General features: G+C 47.7%; 1 protein-coding gene and 1 long non-coding RNA gene across 16 annotated transcripts; one reads left to right on the plus strand and one right to left on the minus strand.

Annotated features, from left to right (window-relative positions):
* Positions 1–1,309: 1,309 nt before the first annotated feature.
* LOC112268174 (uncharacterized) lies at positions 1,310–25,099 on the plus strand. Its single transcript, XR_002957909.2, has 2 exons — positions 1,310–1,438; positions 24,702–25,099. It is a non-coding gene; the product is annotated as an uncharacterized LOC112268174 (long non-coding RNA).
* Positions 2,261–25,435, minus strand: NPIPB4 (nuclear pore complex interacting protein family member B4). Of its 15 annotated transcripts, none has more exons than NM_001384981.1 (9): positions 25,259–25,435; positions 24,938–25,095; positions 19,449–19,534; positions 15,092–15,220; positions 11,373–11,472; positions 11,065–11,260; positions 6,929–6,989; positions 6,784–6,819; positions 2,261–5,423 (listed from the first exon to the last, which is right to left on the minus strand). In NM_001384981.1, exons 2-9 carry the CDS (start codon positions 24,960–24,962, stop codon positions 2,397–2,399), a joined length of 3,660 nt encoding a protein of 1,219 aa, NP_001371910.1. In that variant the 5' UTR covers positions 24,963–25,095; positions 25,259–25,435; the 3' UTR covers positions 2,261–2,396. The 15 variants fall into 15 exon arrangements, with proteins under 15 accessions (NP_001371910.1, NP_001371911.1, XP_024306054.2 ...); NM_001384982.1 differs by lacking the exon at positions 19,449–19,534 and adding an exon at positions 19,594–19,725 and having other exon boundaries at positions 25,249–25,435; XM_024450286.2 differs by lacking the exons at positions 19,449–19,534; positions 25,259–25,435 and adding exons at positions 8,005–8,106; positions 8,946–8,951 and having other exon boundaries at positions 11,065–11,209; positions 24,938–25,057.
* Between the last annotated feature and the right edge of the window lie 35 nt (positions 25,436–25,470).

Consider the following 25,470-nt stretch of genomic DNA (forward strand, 5'->3'; position numbering starts at 1 on the left):
GAACTCCTGACCTCGTGATCCACCTGCCTCGGCCTCTCAAAGTGTTGGGATTACAGGCATGAGCCACTGAGCCTGGCCTGGTGAGCTAATTTTTAAATTTGTTATAGAGACAAGAGAGACAAGAGTCTCTCTTATGTTGCCCAGGCTGGTCTCGACCCCCTGGCCTCAAGTGATCCTCCCACCTCAGCCTCCCAAAGTGCTGGGATTACAGATGGGTGTCACCGCACCTGGCCTCTGAGGAGGATTTCATTATAAACCTGCCCTGAAGGGAGGGAATCCAATTTTACGAGAGGGTGTAGCCTGGTGAGGCCTGGATGACCTCCGGAGGCAGGGGCTTGTGCCTGGGCTGAGGCCTAAGGGACAATGGGCAGACATGAAGTTGCCCCAGGCAGAGGGTACAGTGTGGGCAAAGTCAGGAAGTGGCAGGGCTTGGATCACTCCAGGAAGAGAGAGGAGTCATGTGTCACAGGAGCTCGAGACCCAGAGAGTGAGGCAGGCAGGCAGGGACCAAGCTTGGGCACAGCCAGGAAGGCAGGACAGGGCATGGTGGGGCCAATGGAATCATTACCCAAGACGGGCATTTTCAGGGAAACAGCTTAGATAAGGCCAGGCGTACAGTAGCTCCCACCTGTAATCCCAGCATTTGGGGAGGCTGAGGTAGGACTGCTTGAGCCTGGGAGTTCAAGACCAGCCTAGGCAACATAGTGAGACCCCATATCCACAAAAAATTTAAAAAAGGAGTTTGTGTTCCTGTAGTAGCATACTTGGGAAGTTGAGGTGGCAGTATCACTTGAGCCCGGGAGTTCAAGGCTAAAGTGAGCTGATTGAGCCATTGCACCCCAGCCTGAGCGACAGAGAGATATGCTGTCTCAAAGGAAATACAAACTAAAAAACCAGCCGGACATGCTGGCGTGTGCCTGTAGTCTCAGCTACTTGGGACACTGAAGTGGGAGGATCGCTTGAGCCCAGGAGTTCAAGGCTGCCGTGAGCTATGATTGTGCCTCTGCAGTCCAGCCTGGGCGACTGCAGACTGCAGGACTTTTTTAAAGACCCTGTCTCTTAAAAAAAAAAAAATCTTAGATAAGAGGATGCTGTGCCTCCCTGGGGGTCTTCAGTCACCCATGGTCCTGGCAAGAGAGGAGGGCCAGGAGAGAGCTTCACCCACCTGCTGTCCTGCCCATGTGACATCCGCAGGTGCTGCCATGGCCACGACTGATGTTACACTCGAGCTGAGGAGGCCGGCTGCAGCCCCAAGACAGAGCGCTACTCCTGGCAGTGCGTCAATCAGAGCGTCCTGTGCGATGAGTCCCCAGCAGCACCATGCCACCCACCCCGAGTATCCCCTGGGCACCCTGGCATAGCCAGATGACTTCCGTGCCCCTGTTGCAATAACCACTGCTTCCAAGTCTCTGTAGACCACCCCTTGGGTATATCTCATGTAAGTGATATTTATTTTATTTATTTTTTGAGTCAGAGTCTCACTCTGTCACCCAGGCTAGAGTGTGCTGACGTGATCTTGGCTCACTACAACCTCTGCCTCCTGGGTTCAAGCGATTCTCATGCCTCAGCCTCCCAAGTGGCTAGGACTACAGACATGCACCATCACGCCCAGCTAATTTTTGTATTTTTTTCAGTAGAGGTGGGGTTTCCCCAAGTTGGCCGGGCTGGTCTCAAACTCCCCACCTCAAGTGCTCTGCCCGCCTCGGCCTCCCAAAGTGCTGGGATTACAGGCATGAGCCATGGTGTCTGGCCCTAATGTGAGTGATCTTTAACACTGAGCACTTGAAAAAGAAAACCCTGAAGAAACCTAATTATTCGATGTCTGGACGACAAGGAAGAAGATAGAAATGGCATCAGATAATAAACAGTGTAAATGTTTGTTTATCAGAAAGGGGCTGGTGGTCGGGACAAGTAGGAGGATCGCTTGAGTCCAGGAGTGCATCTCTACAAAAAAGTTAAAGGATTTTTTAACATTGGCCAGGCGTGGTGGCACATATCTGTGATCCCAGCTACTTGGGAGGCTGAGGCAGGAGGATTGCTTGAAGCCCAGGAGGTTGAGGCTGCAGTGAGCTGTGATCGAGCCACTGCACTCCAGCCTGGGTGACACAGCAAAATCCAGTCTCAAAAAAAAAAATAATAATATTTTACATAACCAACCACTTCTAAAGATTAAAAAAAAACCCCTATGATTAAAAACCTCAGGTCCCTCAGGCAATCATACCAGATATCGAAACAAAGCAATAACATAAGGACTGCAGTATTTATTTTATTTTTATATTATTTATTTATTCTTTGTTAGTTTTTGGAGTGTGGGTTTTGTTTTGTTTTTTGAATTTTTTATTTTGTTCTACTCGGTTTTATTCTTATTGCTCAGGCTTGAGTGCACTGGCCTCTTCTCAGCTCAACCTCCGCCTCTTGGGTTCGGGTAATGATGGTTCCACGTCAGCGGCCCTCCGCCTCTTGGGTTTGCGTGACGGTTCCACGTCACCGACCCTCCGCCTCTTGGGTTCGGGTGATGATGGTTCCACGTCAGCGGCCCTCCGCCTCTTGGGTTTGCGTGACGGTTCCACATCACCGACCCTCCGCCTCTTGGGTTCGGGTGATGATGGTTCCACGTCAGCGGCCCTCCGCCTCTTGGGTTTGCGTGACGGTTCCACGTCACCGACCCTCCGCCTCTTGGGTTCGGGAGGTGGTTCCATCTCAGCCGCCCTCTGCCTCTTGGGTTTGCGTGGTTTTTCTGCCTCAGCCTCCTGAGTAGCTAAGGGAGGTGTCTTGAGATTATCATCGGCTGAGGGTGGAAGCGGCCCCCGCAGACGCTCGGCAGGTGTCTTGATATTATCATCTGCTGAGGGTGGAGCTGAGGGTGGAAGGGGAGTGAGCTGACGCTCGGAAGGTGTCTTGAGATTATCATCCGCTGAGGGTGGAAGCGGCCCCCGCAGACGCTCGGCAGGTGTCTTGATATTATCATCTGCTGAGGGTGGAGCTGAGGGTGGAAGGGGAGTGAGCTGACGCTCGGAAGGTGTCTTGAGATTATCATCCGCTGAGGGTGGAAGCGGCCCCCGCAGACGCTCGGCAGGTGTCTTGATATTATCATCTGCTGAGGGTGGAGCTGAGGGTGGAAGGGGAGTGAGCTGACGCTCGGAAGGTGTCTTGAGATTATCATCCGCTGAGGGTGGAAGCGGCCCCCGCAGACGCTCGGCAGGTGTCTTGATATTATCATCTGCTGAGGGTGGAGCTGAGGGTGGAAGGGGAGTGAGCTGACGCTCGGAAGGTGTCTTGAGATTATCATCCGCTGAGGGTGGAAGCGGCCCCCGCAGACGCTCGGCAGGTGTCTTGATATTATCATCTGCTGAGGGTGGAGCTGAGGGTGGAAGGGGAGTGAGCTGACGCTCGGAAGGTGTCTTGAGATTATCATCCGCTGAGGGTGGAAGCGGCCCCCGCAGACGCTCGGCAGGTGTCTTGATATTATCATCTGCTGAGGGTGGAGCTGAGGGTGGAAGGGGAGTGAGCTGACGCTCGGAAGGTGTCTTGAGATTATCATCCGCTGAGGGTGGAAGCGGCCCCCGCAGACGCTCCCCGCAGACGCTCGGCAGGTGTCTTGATATTATCATCTGCTGAGGGTGGAGCTGAGTGTGGAAGGGGAGTGAGCTGACGCTCGGAAGGTGTCTTGAGATTATCATCCGCTGAGGGTGGAAGCGGCCCCCGCAGACGCTCGGCAGGTGTCTTGATATTATCATCTGCTGAGGGTGGAGCTGAGGGTGGAAGGGGAGTGAGCTGACGCTCGGAAGGTGTCTTGAGATTATCATCCGCTGAGGGTGGAAGCGGCCCCCGCAGACGCTCGGCAGGTGTCTTGATATTATCATCTGCTGAGGGTGGAGCTGAGGGTGGAAGGGGAGTGAGCTGACGCTCGGAAGGTGTCTTGAGATTATCATCCGCTGAGGGTGGAAGCGGCCCCCGCAGACGCTCGGCAGGTGTCTTGATATTATCATCTGCTGAGGGTGGAGCTGAGGGTGGAAGGGGAGTGAGCTGACGCTCGGAAGGTGTCTTGAGATTATCATCGGCTGATGGTGGAAGCGGAATCCGCAGACGCTCAGCAGGTATCTTGATATTATCATCTGCTGAGGGTGGAGCTGAGGGTGGAAGGGGAGTGAGCTGACGCTCGGAAGGTGTCTTGAGATTATCATCCGCTGAGGGTGGAAGGCAGGTGTCTTGATGTTATCATCTGCTGAGGGTGGAGCTGAGGGTGGAAGGGGAGTGAGCTGACGCTCGGAAGGTGTCTTGAGATTATCATCCGCTGAGGGTGGAAGCGGCCCCCGCAGACGCTCGGCAGGTGTCTTGATATTATCATCTGCTGAGGGTGGAGCTGAGGGTGGAAGGGGAGTGAGCTGACGCTCGGAAGGTGTCTTGAGATTATCATCCGCTGAGGGTGGAAGCGGCCCCCGCAGACGCTCGGCAGGTGTCTTGATATTATCATCTGCTGAGGGTGGAGCTGAGGGTGGAAGGGGAGTGAGCTGACGCTCGGAAGGTGTCTTGAGATTATCATCCGCTGAGGGTGGAAGCGGCCCCCGCAGACGCTCGGCAGGTGTCTTGATATTATCATCTGCTGAGGGTGGAGCTGAGGGTGGAAGGGGAGTGAGCTGACGCTCGGAAGGTGTCTTGAGATTATCATCCGCTGAGGGTGGAAGCGGCCCCCGCAGACGCTCAGCAGGTGTCTTGATATTATCATCTGCTGAGGGTGGAGCTGAGGGTGGAAGGGGAGTGAGCTGACGCTCGGAAGGTGTCTTGAGATTATCATCCGCTGAGGGTGGAAGCGGCCCCCGCAGACGCTCGGCAGGTGTCTTGATATTATCATCTGCTGAGGGTGGAGCTGAGGGTGGAAGGGGAGTGAGCTGACGCTCGGAAGGTGTCTTGAGATTATCATCCGCTGAGGGTGGAAGGGGATGGAGCAGACACTCGGCACGTGTCTTGAGATTATCATCCGCTGAGGGTGGAGCTGAGGGTAGAGCTGAGGGTGGAAGGGGAGTGAGCAGACACTCGGGAGGTGTCTTGAGTTTATCATCCGCTGAGGGTGGAAGGGGAGTGAGGAGACACTCAGGAGGTGTCTTGAGATTATCATCCGCTGAGGGTGGAAGGGGAGTGAGCACACACTCGGGAGGTGTCTTGAGATTATCATCCGCTGAGGGTGGAAGGGGAGTGAGCACACACTCGGGAGGTGTCTTGAGATTATCATCCGCTGAGGGTGGAAGGGGAGTGAGCAGACACTCGGGAGGTGTCTTGAGGCTCAGGGAGTTATCAGTTATAGAATGTTGTTGAGTTGGAGGAGGTGGCTGGTGGCCCATCCTGTTTTTTAAAGTTTCAGCTGTGAGGTAGGGCCAGTAGGGCAATCCTGAAGAATGACGATGCTCCGCTGCCGCCATTCTGACCTGTAGGGCCAAAGGAGGGAATGTTTTCACACATATTCATTTGATGGACAAAATTACCGCCACCAACACAGTCTGCACCTTCTGTTGCTGGTGATAGATTTTTGCACCTTTCCATCCTCCAGGTTTCAAAATAGAAGTATCAGTGTCATAATATCACCCTTCCACTGAGTACTGCCAACAGCTGGAGGGTAAAGGAAAGTCATTGGGACACACTGTTGTCTCCACATGCCACTGTGTCTGTCTGCAAATGTAGGCAGGCTGGGGTCCTGCCCCAGGGAAGACAGAGTCATAACAGAGTAATAAAGAAGCATGTTTGAGACACAGGAGTGTCTATGTCTATCCTCATTCCTCCCTCACAGCCATCACCAGAGCATGTTTCTTGCACCAGGTCAACAGACAGTAAGAGACAGTAAGAGAGGCATGAAAAGCCCACTGTCCACACATGTTGCAGCTTCTTTTTGGAGAATGTTTTCCAGGCCTTTTATGTTCTGTCTCTGATTCTCAGAACTCTGCAAGGTCAGTGTGACCACCCTGCTCCAAATCTAAGAAAACAGAGGTTTCCAGAGGAAGGAGAAATTGTGCCCAGGGTCACACAGCTTGCAAGAGGCAGAGTGGAAGTTGATTCCAGCTCTGCCTGCAGGACCCTCTCATTTCCCCTCTGTTTCCCTTCTTGACAAAGGATCTTCTTCACTCTGGAGGTGCCACCCATGAGAACAAAGAGCTCTGGAGAGATGTGGATTCCTGAAGAGCTGCAGGGGAACTGGGAGAGGGTTTTCTGACAGAACAATCTCACCTCAAGAAGTCACTTAGGCATGGCTGTAATATTTCTTTTCACTCCCAGGTAATACCAAATTGTAAGTGCACTAGGACATAAAGAATACTTTTGTCCATGGAAAAATGAGGTGGGAATTCTAAACAAAGCAAGTTTTAAAACTGTGTTTCACTTCAAGTGTACAAGTCCCATCACGTGTAATCATAGGACTCGGCAGCTTTTGAAGGTACAGAGGCCACACAAGAACCAGCTTAGCTGAGCATCATTTAAGGCCTTCATTTGGAATTGTCCCTGTGGGTAATAAGTTACATTCACTCTTCACTAGTTTACAGTCAGGGCCCATCTGCTATTACAAATACGGAACCTCTGACACTTAGAATATTAGATCAGGGGCCCCACTGGGTGGGGATGAAGGTGTTTTTGCGCAACACGGTTACCAACAGGGATGGGACTGTGATGCTTGTAGGCAGCCTTTCTCTCTGCCATCTCCCTCTGCAGGGCTTGAGCACAGAGCTGTAGGGAGAAAAATGTATCCATGTCCTGACCTGGCAGACTATGTCCAAAAGCAAGGAAAACAAGCAAACTTACCCAGTTGCAAAGAGCCTTTCTTGCAGAAGGGGGGATCTGAAAAAGCCAACACATGAGAAATTGAATGTTGAGAGAGTCTAAGGGCCGTGGCATCATCTGCATCAGCACTGAACTATCCTGCAACTGCAGGGAGGAAGCTCCTTACTTTGCATTTGTGGTAGTCCTCTGCTCGCCGCCGCAACTCTTGCGCACGTTGAAACATTTTCCTATGGATTACAATCACTTTCATCAGATAAAGCACCACTTTCAGGATGATTTTAAATAATCTGCCATGTTTCTGTTATCCTCACAACTGTACCCTTACACAATCTATCTCTACCTAGAAAACGTATTTCAGATGGCTAGAAGAGTACAGTCTGAGCCGGTCACGGTGGCTGACGCCTGTAATCCCAGCACTCTGGGAGGGCGGGGCGGATGGATCACGAGGTCAGGAGATTGAGACCATTGTGGCTAATATGGTGAAACCCCTTCTCTACTAAAAATACAAAAAATTAGCCAGGCGTGGTGGCAGGCACCTGTAATCCCAGCTACTCGGGAGGCTGAGGCAGGGGAATCACTTGAACCTGGGAGGCGGAGGTTGCAGTGAGCCAAGATCACGTCATTGCACTCCAGCCTGGGTGACACAGCGAGACTCCATCTCAGAAAAACAAAAACAAAAACAAAAAAACTGTACAGTCTGATCCAAACTGTTGCTGTATTGATTCCTCCTCTTGCTTACTGCCTGCTGACTTCTGAGATGATAGTTTCCTTCCCCATTCTCAGTACATCCCTAATTCATCCTTCATTGAGCATCTTTTATCATAAAGCTGTATTCTCTTTGTATTAATATCCTTACCGTGTTTCACAGGGCAGAAACAGCTGGGCTTATAAACAGGCATAGTCCTTTTGAAGGATGTGGTTGATCCTACAACAACACACTTTCCTAAGGATGACAACAACTCACCCCACCCCTAGAATGGCTGGTATGAACCGAGTTTCCACACAGTCTAGCTGGCAATGGGGTCAGGAGACGTTTTGCTACTTCACATCTTTTGGTCACTGGTAAATATTAAGGTACTTTGTTTTCTGTTTTGTGAACTCTCTCTCGCTCTCTCTCACGATATGTCTTCTGACCGTTTGTTTCTATTTCTGCATTTACTGGGTCTAAATACTGTACAAAGGTTAAAAACAACACTCCAATGGGCGTTTCCCAAGAGGGTGGGGTACAGTTTCTGAACTCACTTGTAGGTGTGTATTTCTTTCATATCCAATTTCCCATTTTCCTCTGCCTCTGATACCTGCCTCTCCTTTTCTGCATGCTCACATTCTTTCACGCTTAGTTTCCTCAGATTAGAAGGGAGAGAAATGCACACACATGATCCACCAGCCCGTGTGGGATTCCCTCTGCCCTTCTGGCATCTGAAGGCTGTGATTCAAAGATTCCCCCCTGCAACCTTCCCACAAATGAACCAACTGATTCTCACAACCGAAGGGAGAATTGACACCTCCCATTGAGGGACAAAAAAAAGTCACACTCTGGCCTGCTGGCAAGTCACCTGTCATTTCCAGCTCATCTTCATAGTTCCATAGTTAGTCCTATTCTTTAGTAAATATAAAGACTATTAAAAGCTTCTATGAGGTGCACTATGTGTGTCTCTGGGGTCAGTCTTGTGCTTGACACAGCGAAAGCTCATTTTAGTTCAGTGTGAAAAACCAGACCTCACCAATTCATCACAACTAACTCCATCGGAAGCAGAGGATTGCTCCTCATCTGACTCCTCCTGTGTGAGACCTGATTCTCAGTCAGAGGCTGATGCCGGAACTGAGACCATCAGCCATAGAGAGATCCTTCCAGAATAACCCCGCAGTTCACTACTGCACTTTGCCATGATTCAGGACTGGAACTCTTGTCATCAACTTTAAAGATCCTGGTTGAGAGAAAAGGCAATCTGAATGCTGGGCGCATCTATTGAATTAGAAATGATCGGAATGGCTCCTAAGTCAGGGTGTTATGTCCTGAAAATAGGTGACAACGGCAAACCATCCACCCTGGTGTTGACTGACTTTAACAAGGTTCAGTTCACAGAGATTGAGGGCAGAAAAAGGAAACGGCCTAAAAAGGGTAAGTTTGCTGTGTTGCCCTCACACCACTTGATTCATGGTCCTGATCCTAAGGATCTCACCTGATACTTGGCTTTATAGGAAGGATGTGTAAAATTCCCAGAACGCTAGGAAACAGGGGCGAAAACACTTCAAAGAGAAAGTTAATGAACTTGTTTCTGACCACAAGGCATCCTTCAGCACATGCTGTCTGGAGTGGCCTCAAACAAGGAGTGTGTGGTGTGGTGCTGAGAATGCAATGGGAGCAGGGTCCTGTCCCCACGCTAAAGAAGCTCACAGCTTAATGCAAATGAGAAGCCAGTGAGGACATCACTACTCCTGCTGTGCACTTGGGAACTAGAAACACAAAACCTGACTCTGGAGGGAAGCTAAGGAAGCATTCTACTCTTGAGTTGACATAAGTGCATCTGAAGCTTCTGATCTCCAATGAGAACAATGGGGGACACCAAACAGAATATAAAACCCATGATTGAATACATCAAATTGCTAACATGGCAGTAAACAGACATGAGGTGAAGATGGAGAAGAAGGAAACCCAGGACGAAAGTCAGCCTCGCATTTGGAACCCATTTCCCTGAGTTTCATTGCTGAATTCCAGAAGGAACTACTGAGATGCAAAGAAGCACAGCAGCTTTTGCACACATGCGTGGGATTAGATGGAAAACAAGTGGATTGAGGGTCTGCCAATGAAAGCGACCCATACTGAAGTCCGCTGGCTCTGGTTGAGACCCAGAAGAGTCATGCATCAGAATAAAGGTGGACAGGAAATACCCTGGCCTTTGTAGGGACTGAGCCTGCACCGACGACTTCAATTGCAGCTTGTATGGAGGACCCCTGACCATCCCCCAGAAGTAGACTCCCATCTCTTCTGCAGCAAGATAACATGCTACTAGGCCTCAATTCATTGCTAAACATTTTTTAACAAGTATCTCACATTTAACAAAAAAAGATCAGTCATATGGCAGCAAAATACAATGTCATATGACCAAAACATGAAAGACTGTGAAAATGAATCTGGAGGTGACCCAAGCATTGAATTCAACAATCCAGGCTGGGTGCGGTGGCTCACACTGGGAGGCTGAGGTAGGCAGATCACCTGAGGTCAGGAGTTCAAGACTAGCCTGGCCAACATGGTGAACCCCTGTCTCTACTAAAAATACAAAAATTGGGCCGGGCACGGTGGCTCACGCCTGTAATCCCAGCACATTGGGAGGCCGAGGTGTGCGGATCATGTCAGGAGTTCTAGACCAGCTTGGCCAATATGGTGAAACCCCGCCTCTACTAAAAATACAAAAATTATCCGGGCATGGTGGCATATGCCTGTAGTCCCAGCTACTCAAGAGGCTGAGGGATAAGAATCGCTTGAACCTGGGAGGTGGAGGTTGCAGTGAGCCAAGATCATGCCACTGCACTCTAGCCTGGGTGACAGAGTGAGACTCTGTCTCAAAAAAAAAAAAAAAAAAAAAAATTGGTCAAATGTGGTGGCACACACCTGTAATCCAAGCTACTCGGGAAGCTGAGGCAGAATTGCTTCAAACTGGGAGGCAGAGGTTGCAGTGAGCCAAGATTGCACCATAGCACTCCAGCCTGGGCGACAGAGCGAGACTCTATCGCAAAATTAAAAAAAAAAAAAAAAAAAAAAAAGGCTGGCTGTGGTGGCTCACGCCTCTAATCCCAGCACTTTGGGAGGCTGAGGCAGGTGGATTACCTGAGGTCAGAAGTTCGAGACCAGCCTGGACAACATGGTGAAACCCCATCTCTAGTAAAAATACAAAAATTAGCTGGGCGTGGTGGTGGGCACCTGTAATCCCAGCTACTTGGGAGGCTGAGGCAGGAGAATTGCTTGAACCCAAAAGGCAGTGAGCTGAGATTGTGCCATTGCACTACAGCCTGGGCAACAACAGCAAAGCTCCATCTCAGGAAAAAAAAAAAAAAAAAAAGAGAAAGGAAAACCAATGCCAGTACTAGCAACTCCTCTTCCTCCGAAAAAATGAAAACAAGAATGTAGGAAGGGAAAGGAATTATACAGCTTAAACTAATGAAGCAGAAAGGACAAACTCAATTTTGAACCCACTGAATTTGCCACAAATATTGTAGAAAATATTCTCAAGGACTTTACAGTTGTCTACTTTGATTGGCACATGGTTCATACAACAGTATTTGTGTCAAGGCACATCTTACTGTTTTCTGGCGGTCTTCCTCTTTCCATTGATTTTGTCATGATGGTTGATTTTCGTTGTCACCTTCCTCTTACGGATTTTAGCTCTAACTTTTGTTTCCACATGTCTCCGTAGAGTAATGACGTCTTTCAGGACAATTTTATTTCCTCGAAAGGAAGAAACTCTTTTCTTTGTGTGCATACAAATGGACCTCAGCCCTTGGTGAGAGTGAGGAGAAGAGAAGGTGAGAAACCTGAGGGCAAGAAGCTGTTCTTTCCCTTTCCAGGGCAAACTCATTTCCACACTATGCGGATTCCAACAGAGCCATACCTTCCTGTCTACGGCGGTTGGACCTCCAGGCTCTCTGCTGTACATCCGTGGATCCATCATGTCCATTTCGAGACCAGAAGATAGTCTTCAGGAGAGACACCTAGGAAATAATAATATAAGAATGACGGCTGGGCACGGTGGCTCATGCGTATAATCCCAGTACTTCGGGAGGCCGAGGCAGGTGGATCACGGGGTCAGGAGTTCAAGACCAGCCTGGCCAAGATGGTGAAACCCCGTCTCTACTAAAAATACAAAAATTAGCCGGGCATGGCAGCGGGCGCCTGTAATCCAAGCTACTCGGGAGGCTGAGGCAGAGAACCGTTTGAAGCTGGGAGGCGGAGGTTGCAGTGAGCCGAGATCACACCACTGCACTCCAGCCTGAGCGACAGAATGAGACTCTGTCACATACACACACACACACACAAGAATGACATGAGGCTGGCACGGTGGCTCACTCCTGTAATCCCAGCACTTTGGGAGGCCGAGGCAGGCGGATCACCTGAGGTCGGGAGTTTGAGACCAGCCTCACCAACATGGAGAAACGCTGTCTCTGCTAAAAATACAAAATTAGCCAGGCATGGTGGTGCATGCCTGTAATCCCAGCTAGTCGGGAGGCTGAGGCAGGAGAATCACTTGAACCCAGCAGGAAAAGCTTGTGGTGAGCTGAGATTGTGCCATTGCACTCCAACCTGGGCAACAAAATTGAAACTCTGTCTCAAAAAAAAAAAAAAAAAAAAAAAAAAAAAAATAGGCCAGATGCGGTAGCTCACGCCTGTAATCCCAGCACTTTGGGAGGCCGAGGCGGGTGAATCACAAGGTCAAGAGATGGAGACCATCCTGGGCAACATGGTGAAACCCCGTCTCTACTAAAAATACAAAAATTAGCTGAGCATGGTGATGCACGCCTGTAGTCCCAGCTACTCGGGAGGCTGAGGCAGGAGAACTGCTTGAACCCAGGAGGCAGAGGTTGCAGTGAGCCAAGATCCCACCACTGCACTCCAGCCTGGTGACAGAGTGAGACTTCGTCTCAAAAAAAAAAAAAAAAAAAAAAATGACATGAATATACTTCACACAACTGAACTGTACACTTCAACACGGTTAGATGGTAATTATCATCTTATAAGTATTTTACCACAGGTTAACATGTTTCACAACTTGAAAAGGAAGTAATTACCTTCAGCTCTCTGAGTTCTAGAATTTGTAACATTTCATCCCCTGCTCCTTCCTGATCTGCACTGGAGCATCTTCCTTCTGTCCCTGCTCTACTCAGAGTTCACTTTCCCTTCCCTCACATCAGCTTCATTGAGGCTGGTTTGAACTTAACGCAAAACATTCTCACTAATGACTGAATTCCCACCAAGATTTCCATATTATCACAGTATGCTTTTAATCTTCTAAGATATTAAATATTTCTTCTCATCATAGCTAAAATGCAATGCAAATCCCATCTCAGATGTGGGTCAGATACCTATGAATCTCCTGAGGTGGTCATTGAAATGACTTTTTTCTTGAGACAGAGTGTCACTCTCAACCGTGCTGAAGTGCAGTGGCGCTACCTTGGCTCACGGCAACCTCCACCTCCCAGATTCAAGCGATTCTTGTGCCTCAGCCTCCCAAGTAGCTGGGATTACAGGTGCCTGCTACCATGCCTGGCTAATTTTTGTCTTTTTAGTAGAGATGGGGTGTCACCATGTTGGCCCATCTGGTCTTGAACTCCTGACCTCAAATGATCCATCTGCTTCAGCCTCCCAAAGTGCTGGGATTACAGGCATGAGCCACCACACCTGGCCTGAAATAATATCTTTCAAATTCTTTGTAGAATTTGTTTTTTCCTGATTTCTGCACATAGGATAAAAAAAAAATCATGTACTAGGATTTCGAGAGAAGCAATGGGTAATCTAAAAAGATGAAAAGAGCAACCACGTCAATCCCACAGCTACTGCTAGATTTCATAGGAAAGGTAGCTGGCCCAGTTTGGAGCTAGGGGAAATGTCAAACACATGAAGAAATGAGAAGCCAAGAAATGCCATCACGCATGAATGCTTCATGGCACCCATGATGTCCCTGCTAAGGAGGTAATGGTATAGATGACTAGATGACAAGGACAAAGATGAGAGGTGCGAAGTTGTCCAAGTCCAACAGCTCAACTGAACTTTCCTAAGTGGAATTGTTAAAAAGTGGTAAATTTAAAAACTTCCCCTGGCTCACGTGGTGGCTCACGCTTGTAATCCCAGCACTTTGGGAGGCTGAGGTTGGTGGATCATTTGAGGTCGGGTTTTGAGACTAGCCTGGCCAACATGGTAAAACCCCGACTCTACTAAAAATACAAAAATTAGCTGGGCATGGTGGTGGGCACCTGCAATCCCAGCTACTTGAGAGGCTGAGGCAGGGGAATCACTTGAAGCCAGGAGGTGGAGGTTGCAGTGAGCCGAGGTCACACCATTATACTCCAGCCTGGGCAACAGAAGGAGACTCGTCTTCGGGGTGAGAAAAGAAAAAAAAAAAAGAAAAAAGCTTCCTCCAATTTATACCGAAAATTCTCTGTTCAGGACTAAGTGGCATAGAGAATGTTAAATGTGCCTAGATATCTTCATAACTCATATATTTTCTGTTTTCTACATATCTTGAAAGGCAGTGCCAAATGACGTGTAATTATCTAGGTGGTAAAACTGAAACATACTTCCTCTTCCCTTGAATATAAAAAAGCATTGTGGTATTAGTACTTTTATCTTGGATCATTGTTCAGAAGGAGGTTCAGCCCCCAGACAACCACATTTTTACTGTCATGAATGGCAAGACAAAATGTAGAGCTCAACTTACCCAAAGGAAAAAAGGCTCAAAAGACAAATTATGGCACAACTTAGCAGCCAAATTCTTACCAAGTACAGACTTTTGACATACTGATCTCTCTCCAGTTCCAAGTCGGAACATGCACTTTGAATGATGTCATTCAAAATTACCCTGCCCAGACACACTTTTCATTGATTCTCTTGGAGGGCAGTTCTAAGAGTCTCTGGGGCTTTCTCTGCATCATGAGACGCAGTGCAGTTCTGCCCTTCACCTTCCGGCAGTTTGTCACCTCGTCCCTATGACCTCACAGGAACTTTGTCTCAGGCCAATTGTTTGTTCCTTGGCCTCTTTCATTTCCCCTAAAAATCATTTGCTGCCCCTCTAAATGGCCTACATCTCCATCTATCTCCCTCTCCCCTCAGAAGAGGGTGCTCTTTAAGCATCAGCCATCCGGCCCTTCTAGCAGTCTCATTTTTCAGCTGGTTCCCATGTTTATGCCTGTTCTATGTTTTTCTTTTCCTGTTAAGCTGTCTGTTGTCAGCTCATTTCTGCAGTGAATCTTCAGAGAGGAGATTGGAAGCTTTCCTTCCACCCATACGATAGAACTATAAAGCAGAAGAGTTTAGAAAGAATTTCCTATTTAAGTGACGAAACCTCATACTCCATTTGTGATAAATAGCACAAAGGTTAAAAAAACTTATTTTTGACCAAAAGCTCTGTTGACATTCTATTAAACAAACACCGACCTATTTAATTTTCATAATGCAAATGGCAGATGTTTTCATAATTCTTATACTAATAAATCATTTCCCTGATTTTTTGGGTAAAACCACATATTCATAATGAAGTCCAGAAATGTGAATTGTTTTATATAATTTATTCTTATTTGTGATTACAAGTATACCTCTACAGAAAGTTAGTATACTCACCCAAAGGTAAACTATCCAGAGGGTAATGACAACTTTATAACTTGTCGGAAATGCAATAATGACATGTAACCAAGGACTTCCACCAAAGTCAGTCCCACGATGATGATGGTCAGCCAGAGTATTGATAACCTGGAATAATAATAGTTGAAATAATGAAAAGGTCAATGACACTGACAATATTTCACTCAGAAAGAATCATCCTTAGAAACCGTCAACCTCCTCCAAAAGGTAACCACATCCCTCAGATATCACCGTGGGATTCCACTGCTACAAAAAAGAACAGAAGTTAGAAGTCACATGTTTTTCAGATGGCTGGTAGTGTTTTCAGGCATTGCAAATGTGGGGTGTTGTCTTTCTTGGTATAAAGCAGGGATATCCAATCTTTTGACTTCCCTGCCTATATTAAAAGAAGCAAAGTTGTCTTGAGCCACACATAACATACACTAACACTAACAATAGCTGATGATCTAAAAAAAACCTCTTTTTTTTTTTTGAGACAGAGTTCCGCTCCACTCAGTCGCCCAGGCTGGAGTGCAGTGGTGCAATCTCGGCTCACTGCAACCTCCAGCTCCTGGGCTCAAGCCATTCTCCTGCCTCAGCCTCCCGAGTAGCTGAGATTACAGGTCTCTGCCACCATGCCCGACTCATTTTTGTATTTTTAGTAGAGATGAGGTTTCACCATGTTGGCCAGTCTGGCCTTGAACTCCTGACAGGCGATCTGCCTGCCTCGGCCTCCCAAAGTGCTGGGATTACAGGTGTGAGCCACCGTGCCCAGCCATTTTTTTGTTTTTGTTTTTGTTTGTTGTTTTTGAGATGGGGTCTCACTCTGTCACCCAGGCTGGAGTGCAGTGGTGTGCTCCCGGCTCACTGCAACCTCTGCCTCTCAGGTTCAAGTGATTCTCCTGCCTCAGCCTCCTGAGTAGCTGGGAGTACAGGTGCCTGACAGTGCACTCAGCAAATTTTTGTATTTTTTGTGGAGATGGGGTTTTGCCATGTTGGTCAGGGTGGTCTCGAACTCCTGACCTCAGGTAATCTGCCCGCCTCAGCCTCCCAAAGTGCTGGGATTACACGCATGAGCCACTGTACCTGGCCAAAATCTCCTAATGTTTTAAGAAAGTTTACAAATTTGTGTTGAACTGCATTCAAAACTGTCCTGGGCCACATGCAGCCCGTCACTCATGGGTAAGACAAGCTAAGTATAAAGTAATTATCTTATCTTTTCTTTTCTTTTTGTTTTGAGACAAAGTTTTGCTCTGTCACCCAGGCTAGATTGCAGTGGCATGATCTCAACTCACTGCAACCTCCGCCTCCCGGGTTCAAGCGATTCTCCTGCCTCAGCTACTGAGTAACTGGGATTACAGGCGCCTGCCACCACGCTCGGCTAATTTTTGTATTTTTAGTAGAAACAGGGTTTCACCATCTTGGCCAGGCTGGTCTCCAACTCCTGACCTCATGATCCACCTGCCTTGGCCTCCCAAAGTGCTGGGAATACAGGTGTGAGCCACTGCACCTGGCCAGTAGTTATCTTTTCTTTAAAGTTATTTACTTGTTTTTTAAATTGATGTATAACATTGGATGCATTTATTATATATCACATGGTAAAAGAATCCCTCTAAATAATACTTCTCTCTTGGATTATATGAATCTTTGTCATTTAAATCTCAGCATAAGTAAAAAAAAAAAAAAATACAATGAAGAGATTACTTCATTCACAAATAAGTATCAAATTTTAGTGCTTAAAAATTAACAAGGTGGGCTGGGCGTGGTGGCTCACGCCTGCAATCCCAGCACTTTGGGAAGCCGAGGTGGGTGGACCACGAGATCAGGAGATTGAGACCATCCTAGCTAACACGGTGAAACCCGTCTCTACTAAAAATACAAAAAATTAGCAGGGCATGGTGGCACATGCCTATAGTTCCAGCTACTTGGGAGGCTGAGGCAGAAGAATCACTTGAACCCGGGAGGCAGAGGTTGCAGTGAGCCGAGATCGCACCACTGCACTTCAGCCTGGGTGACAGAGCGAGACTCTGTCTCAAAAAAAAAAAAAAAAAAAAAAAAAAAAAAAAAAAAAAAAAAAAAAATTATCAAGGTGGAGATCATGAAAATGGCATGAATAGTGTGGGATTTCTCTAAGATTGTTGATATTAATTCCATTAGACTCTTATGTGAGTGAAGACGAAGACTTCCCCTGAGTAAGTTCAGACAGCTTGTGATAACATTTCTACGTCGATTCCTCAGGATTTAACTATATATTCTTGAAAACATCTCAATTTTAAATGTTTCTTTCAAGATGGTGAATTAAACAGAGATAGCCCTTCAACAGGTTGAACTCAGCATATGCTGAGTCTGAAATGGAAATGATGAAGTTAGAGAACCATACAACAATGGTAATGATTTCAGAAACATGGTGTTGAGCAGAACAAAGCAGACACAAAAGAGTACCTATGGCATGGCATGCATCTGTATACGCGAAATTCCAGAATAAGCAAGCTAACCTATGATAAGAAAGAGACTGGCTGGGAAGACTGAGAGTTCACTTTCTGGGGTGACATAATAGTGTAGATCTTGGCTGGGCATGGTGGTTCACGCCTGTAATCCCAACGCTTTGGGAGGCCGAGGCGGGCGGATCACCTGAGGTCGGGAGTTCAAAACCAGCCTGACCAACATGGAGAAACCCTATCTCTACTAAAAATACAAAATTAGCTGGGAGTGGTGCCACATGTCTGTAATCCCAGCCACTCGGGAGGCTGAGGCAGGAGAATCGCTCGAACCTGGGAAGCAGAGGTTGCGGTGAGCTGATATTGCCCCATTGCACTCCAGCCTGGGCAACAAGGGAGAAACTGTCTCAAAATAAATAAATAAATAAATAAAATAATGTAGATCTTGAAAGGGGGTTGGTTTATGCTGGTGTATGTACTTTCCAAAGTTAGTAAACTTACACTTAAGGTTATATATTTTGGCCAGGCGCGGTGGCTCACGCCTGTAATCCCAGCACTGGGAGGCTGAGGCAGGCAGATCACGAGGTCAAGAGATGGAGACTATCCTGGCGAACATGGTGAAACCCCATCTCTACTAAAAACACAAAAATTAGCCAGGCGTGGTGGTCTACTAAAAATACAAAAATTAGCCAGGCGTTGTAATCTGAGCTACTCAGGAGGCTGAGGCAGGACAATTGCTTGAACCCCAGAAGCGGAGGTTGCAGTGAGCCGAGATCTTGCCACTGCACTCCAGCCTGGGCGACAGAGTGAGACTCTGTCTAAAAAAAAAAAAAAAAAAAAAAAAGTCATCAAACCAGATGACACAAATCAAATGACATTTCACTTTGTTTTGGTCCATTTTCTTTGTTAAAAACAAGAGTGCAGCGGGGCCATCTCGGCTCACTGCAACGTCCAGCTCCTGGGCCCAAGCGATCCTCCCACCTCAGCCTCTCCAGTAACTGGGATAACAGGTACGCACCACCAGGCCCGACTAATCTTTATTGGAATTTTTTGTAGAGATGGGGTTTCGCTATGATGCCCTGGCTAGTCTTCAACTCCTGGACTCAAGTGATCTGCCCACCTCGGCCCCCTAAAGTGCTGGGATTACAGGCCTGAGCTGTGTAATTTCATGCCACGTGATACAGCCCAGTAAAAAGGAAGAAACCCCACGGGTCCAGCGTCTACTCACAGAGATGCACTGATGGCTGATAAATTCCAGTAGGAGCCCAAAGAGGAGCCAAAAGAGCATCCACCGCACCCGCATGTCCTGGTCCTTTCAGGGCGCCCTGAGGCGGCCAGGACAGAGGTGGAGGTGGCTTAGGGCAGGGGGGAGGGAAGGGGACGGGGACCGGGGCCGGATCTGAGTTGGGGAGGGGAGGGGGAGGGGAGGGGGAGGGGAGGGGGAGGGGAAGGGGAGGGGAAGGGGGGAAGTAAGGGAAGGGAAAGGAGGAGAAGGGGGCTGTTGGGCACCTGGAGGAGGTGGAGGAGGAGGAGGAGAAGAAGAAAGGGGTCTGGGAAAGGATCCGGTTCAAATTAAGTTCTCAAGCGCTGGTGGAAGGTTTAGCTACAGGTCACGGAGAAGATCAGGGAAGCAACAGGACACGCGGGGCAAGGGAGCGTGAGGCTTAGGAGCAATCAGAGGGAGACAAAAAGGTTCTGCTATCCACCAAACCTTCTTCGGTCTGGGCCCTCCCTTACCAACCCTGGGGCTTTATACTCCCTCTCCACCAATCCCTGATGACCCCGGTGGTGCCTCACAATGGACAGTGCCTCACAATGGACAATGCCAAGTAGCGCCCGCATCATTCCAATGACCCCTCCCCCATCTCAGTCTCCCACACTCCTCCCAAAGACAGGTCCTCTCTGGAACCTTCACAAACCTGATTTCTGGTCCTCCCCAACCAGCTCCCTGTCCCTGCTTCTGGGCGCTCCTTCCTTCCTGAGCTCCCAGGGTTCCTCAAGGTCACTTATGGCGACAAAACATAAAAAACAAATGATGGCAGGATGGCAGGAAGAACCTCATACCCAAGCAGAGTGCCAGGTTTTACAGCCTCCGCTCAGCCATTCATATCCTAAGCAACAAAACATCAGCAGGGTGCGGAAGGTCCCGATAGTAAACCATCTCCATCACATCCATGTAGCCATCCGTCCATCAACCTGTATCTCGGGAACAAATGTAGATACATTCATTTTAAGCATGCCTGGTACATTTACAAAAATTAACCTGACTTATTTTGTTCCAGCAAATCTCAATATATTTGAGAGCAATCAAATCACACAGCATGTTTCTGATCATATAACTGTGCTAGAAGTCAATGATTAAAAGCTAATTCAAAATTATTATTTGCTTGGAAATTCAAAGTGCCCTTATAAGACATAAACATAAGAAAGAATCCAAAATGAAACAAGATTGCCTTTCAACTCAATGATGAGATCATAACATGGCAATAAAATGTCTCCCTCTGGCCTGGGAATTCCTCTTTGTGGCACAAGGTTGTGTGATCTCAAATCACCGCTAACCCACCTAGACATTTTAACATCCGAAACCGAGTGATGACGTCCTTATCTATATCATCTTACTGCCTGTGTGTGTGGACTTTAAATTCTGAACCCAAATGAGGGGGAGAAAACCAAGTTGACTTTCATGACTGAGCTCTCAGGGACGTCCAAGGAATCTGTGCATTTCAAGAAACAAAGTTCATCAGCTTCTCTCCTAAGGTATTTGCCCACAATACCCAGAGGGCTTGGCAGCATCATGTGTGATGGGTGGGGAGCTCCAAGCAGGTGGGCAGGACCCAGGGGCCTGGTGACCAGGACAGACCCCCACTGTCCATCACCTTTCCTGGCCCTGTCCTCTGCTAAACTTCCCACAGGCCTTCTGCCCGATCACACAGAGTATGCCCAAACTCTCTCAGGCCTCTGGCAGCTGAAAACCACTGCTTTAAATCCCTTTACCATTTACTATGACATAAGGTTATTGTAAACAGGAAATATTCTATTGATGCTACAAATGGAAAGCCAATGCCTTTACCATAAATAGAAAAACAACCCTAAGAAGCAAGCAAAACAAAAACAAAACAGGGGCTGGGTGTGGTGGCTCACGCCTGTAATCCCAGCACTTTGGGAGGCCGAGGTGGGCGGATCACAAGGTCAGGAGTTCCAGACCAGCCTGGCCAATATGGTGAAACCCTGTCTCTAATAAAATACAAAAATTAGCCGGGTGTGGTGGTGGGCGCCTGTAGTCCCACCTACTTGGGAGGCTGAGGCAGGAGAATAGTTTGAACCCGGGAGGCAGAGTCTGCAGTGAGCCGAGATTGCACCACTGCACTCCAGCCTAGGCGACAGAGCGAGACTCTGTCTCAAAAACAGCAACAACTACAAACAAACAAAAAACAGGGTTAACAAAAGTATGGAATTCAATTCTTTTTATATGCTGCAGCCATGTTCCTGCCCTAGATTTGGCTGGGCATGGTGGCTCACGCCTGTAATCCCAGCACTTTGGGAGGCTGAGGCAGGCGGATCACGAGGTTAGGAGTTCGAGACCAGCCTGACCAACATGGTGAAACCCCGTCTCTACTAAAAATACAAAAATTAGCCAGGCATGGTGGCACACGCCTGTAATCCCAGCTACTCAGGAGGCTGAGGCAGGACAATCCCTTGGACCCGGGAGGCGGAGGTTGCAGTGAGCCGAGATCGTACCATTGCACTCCAGCCTGGGTGACAGAATGGAATGAGACTCTGTCTCAAAAAAAAAAAAAAAAAAAAGCAGCCCTAGATTTCGGTTGTGGTGGTTGTAAAAGGAGAGACCAAGTAAGTGGGGGTTGAAGTCAGATTAGAGCAAAAGTGAATGGCAGAGAGTACTATAATGTCCATGAAGGGCTGCTAGAGTCACCGTGATCATAGCCCAAGCAGAGATAGGGAAAGGAAGATGTGAGCAGAGTTTGGGGTCTCGAACAATGGAGGTTATTCGTGCAGCCCAGGAAAGGCTCCCCAAAGCCAGGATCAACCTCCCTTGGAGGCGGTCCCTCATGGAGGCATGGTCAGGCACCTTAGATTTGAGACCAGCTATGTTGCTGCTGACCAGCTGTGTGACCCTGGGCTGGTTTCCTTCCACACAATGGGAGTGCCAATGGCTGCATGCATGCAAAGACCGTCTGAGGATAGGAGGAAGCAATCTGTTGAGCACCCGTGTACCTGAGTGTCATCACCTCCCAAGGGCATCCTTCGTTCCAGAGCTGGCACCTTGGAAGGCCCTTGGTCACTGAAGGCAGTGATGATGGTAACAGCAGTAAATCATCATTTACGGCTGATGAGGGAAGGCCAGGGGTAGGGCTCCTAGGTCCTGGATAAGAATGAGGGTCTGGGCACTCCTGGGGACAGCTGAGTGGTAGGACTCCTGGGTCCCCAGGGGGCAGGTCCATCTTCAGTGGCATTGGGCCTAGGCTGGGATGCTGAGTTATCCACTGGAGCATCAGCAGTACAGGCAGGCACAGAGGCAGTGGATCCATCGGAGGTGGCAGGTGTAGGATCGTCTGGTGAGCAAGTAGAGTCACCAAATCTGGCTGACCACTACCCCCACTACCCCCACTATCCCCACAGACGATGCCCTGTCCCTTGCCTCATGCTCCGGCAGGGTACAGGCTCGCACCTGGGGCCTCAAGGAGCATCTCTCTAAGACCTCTGTGTCCTGGTCATTGAATGGGCACTTGAGTCACCCAGGGCCATTGGAACAAAGAGGAAGAATCAGGCCCCACGATGTTTTGGGAGAGTGTTTAGCACAGGAAAATGCGCAGAATACACGCACGACACGGGGGCACTGTCAGTGTGGGAGCAATGGTTTACAACCTCCAGCCCTAATCTGAGCACTCTCACCTGTGCAATCTGAAAGGAACAGGAGACTTGCAGGAAAGACAGTGCCTGGATTTAACTTAAAGGAACTAAAAATGTTGGAATTTTTACTCTTGATATCCTTCCAAATCAACTCTCTCAATGTTCCCATCCTCAAAACTATCATATGGGGTAACTGAGGCAGTCAGAGATTTACTGACTCAATGTCACTCAATTGATTCTGAGTTCACTGCTGATTACATCCGACCAAACTGCTTTTTCTGAAGTCTACTCCGTTTAATCATGCTGGTGATGATTTTGTGCGGCTCTGGGACAAACTCCACCTGGCTGAAGATAAAGCAAATCTGCGGTGACTTAGTCCTCCTGTCATTTCCCATCAGTTCCCCACTCTCCTCCTCTGCCCCTCCACAGTCTCCCATGCAGGCTGACACCATATGACGGCCTTAATGGAGTCCACCGAGTATTTCAGGTTCTCTCCTGGGCCACTTGAAAGTGGATGTACCCATGGGATTTGCTTTGACCCAGGAGATGTGCGTGGAAGTGAAGCGTGTCACCTCGAGGCAAAAGAGTTGGGAGCCATTGAGACGGGCCACTCTCTCCTTCATCTCTTAGAGCAGCTGACAGCTCCCATATGGAGGCTGCTCCTTTATTCTCGTGGCAGGATGAGGGCATGTGGGGCACAGGGCACAGGAGAGCCATGGAGGATGTGCAGCATGGGCAGGAAAAGAGCCTTCAGTGGTGTACATTTCCATAGTTTGGGGCTGTTTCTTACCTACAGTGATACCTAGCCCATCCTAGCAGGCATGCACCATCTACTCCACACTCTGTGATGCAGACTAGCCTGCCGTCAGAACACGAACTGGTGGTCAGACACAGGTAGGTTTCAGTTCCAGCTCTGCCTCTTATTGACTGCAACCTCAGGCTTAACTTTCAGTCTCTGAGCCTCAGTTTCAACTCTGTAAAATGAGGTGGCTATACCATCTCAGGTTGCAGAGAGAATTAAATGAAATATAAGTGCATGTAGAGCATTGAACCCAGGGCCTGGCACACACAGTGAGTACACAATGTTAGCCAGGTAGCTTCATAATGCATACTGATTGTCAATATTCAGACAATGCAGTAAAGTGTTACCAAAAATAAAAGTAAACTTATTTGCATATGTATTCTTTCAATCTTTATTTTTAAACAGGGTAAAACTATGCATATTCTTTCATAGCCAGTGTTTTTCTCTTCATAGTATATTGTTAAAATAATTTTACTTGGACCGGGTGCAGCGGCTCACACCTATAGTCCCAGCACTTTGGGAGGCCGCGGTGGGCAGATCACGAGGTCAGGAGTTGACACGAGCCTGGCCAATATGGTGAAACCCCATCTCTACTAAGAATACAAAAATTAGCTGGGCATGGTGGCACACACCTGTAGTCCCAGCTACTCAGAGGCTGAGGCAGAGGAATTGCTTGAACCCGGGAGACAGAGGTTGCAGTGAGCCAAGATTGTGCCATTGCACTCCAGCCTGGGGGACAGAGTGAAACTCTGTCTCAAAAAATATGTGTGTGTGTGTGTGTGTGTGTGTGTGTGTGTGTGTGTGTGTGTGTGTGTGTGTGTGTATCTATATAAATCTCAAAAATAAAAGATCATTTTTGAGATTATCATTTTAAAAGACAAGATAATGTTCAACTTAATGACTAATTTAATTATTACTATTGGACTTTTTGTAGACTGCACAGAGCATTCAAAACAAATGAAGGAGAATAAAAAATATGTATTACATGTTATAAAATAAATGTGATGTGGTTAACTCTTTTATTCAAAGTTATAGAACATACATATGTACTATAGAATGTATTATTATGAGTCATGTTAAAAAGTAGTTTAGAAGCTGTTGATTTGAATTTCCTTTTCAAATTTTGCAGGATAATTTTTTTTTTTTTTTTTTGACAGAGTCTCGCTCTGTCGCACAGTCTGGAGTGCAATGGCGTGATCTCGGCCCACTAAAACCCCCACCTCCTGAATCTAAGCAATTCTCCTGTCTCAGCCTCCTGAGTAGCTGGGACTACAGGCTCACACCACCATGCCCGGCTAATTTTTGTATTTTTAGTAGGGACGAGGTTTTGCCATATTGGTCAGGCTGGTCTCAAAGTCCTGGCCTCCGGTGATCCACCAGCCTCAGCCTCCCAAAATGCTGGGATTAGAGGCATGAGTCACCATGCCCAGCCTAAACTTGGCAAGATAATAAATCACCTTTTTAAGTGTCGTTGGGCACTTGTCTGGTTGTTTTTCTTTAGGTTACCATGCCAGCAATGATTCCTTTTGAGTTTCTGACAGAAGATAGTGGTTTTCATCCAAATAAGTCAACTACTCTACCCCATCCCTAAGCCACTTGTATGGAAAGAAAAAGAGGAAGAAGCCAGTACTGTGACTGCGTAAGCTTCCCCCAGCATCACCGGCTATGAGATGTGTGGCAGCTGAGACCCGGGAACTGCTCAAGGGCACCAGGCCCCATCTGTCTGCACTCACTCACCTTCCTCAGGTACTCGCATGGGCATGTCACTGACTTTACATGCTGCTGCAGCTCCTTGGTGAGCTGGCCCTGGTCATGGGACAGGAACTGTGGGGTCAGGACAATAGAGAGCTTCACCATTTGCAGAATGAGAACAGGGGCTCATGATGAGTGCCAACCTATTAGATAATTTAAAAAAAAAAGTGTTGAATGAGTGGAAAAACAAGGTGATGTTTGAGTCTATAGTGGTCAAGGGCTTCAGAAAAGGACAGAACCAAGTTCAAATTCCTGTACTTTGAATTTCTACTTCATGCCATGCAAAATTACTTTACCCCTTTTAACCTCAGTTTTCTTCTGTGTGAAACAGGAACAATAGTTTCATTCGTCATTCAGTTTCTCTCAAGATTTCACGAGATCATACCTATAAAACATCCAAGTCATTTAAATGTATCATCATTTCTGTCATAATTAGTGGGATCCATTTCACTATTATTGGATATACAGTTCTGTGCCTGAAACCTACAAAAAAACAAAATGTTAAGTCTAAAAAGCAT

The sequence above is a fragment of the Homo sapiens genome, chromosome 16 (genome assembly GCF_000001405.40).
Source record: "Homo sapiens chromosome 16, GRCh38.p14 Primary Assembly".
Classification (NCBI taxonomy): domain Eukaryota; kingdom Metazoa; phylum Chordata; class Mammalia; order Primates; family Hominidae; genus Homo; species Homo sapiens.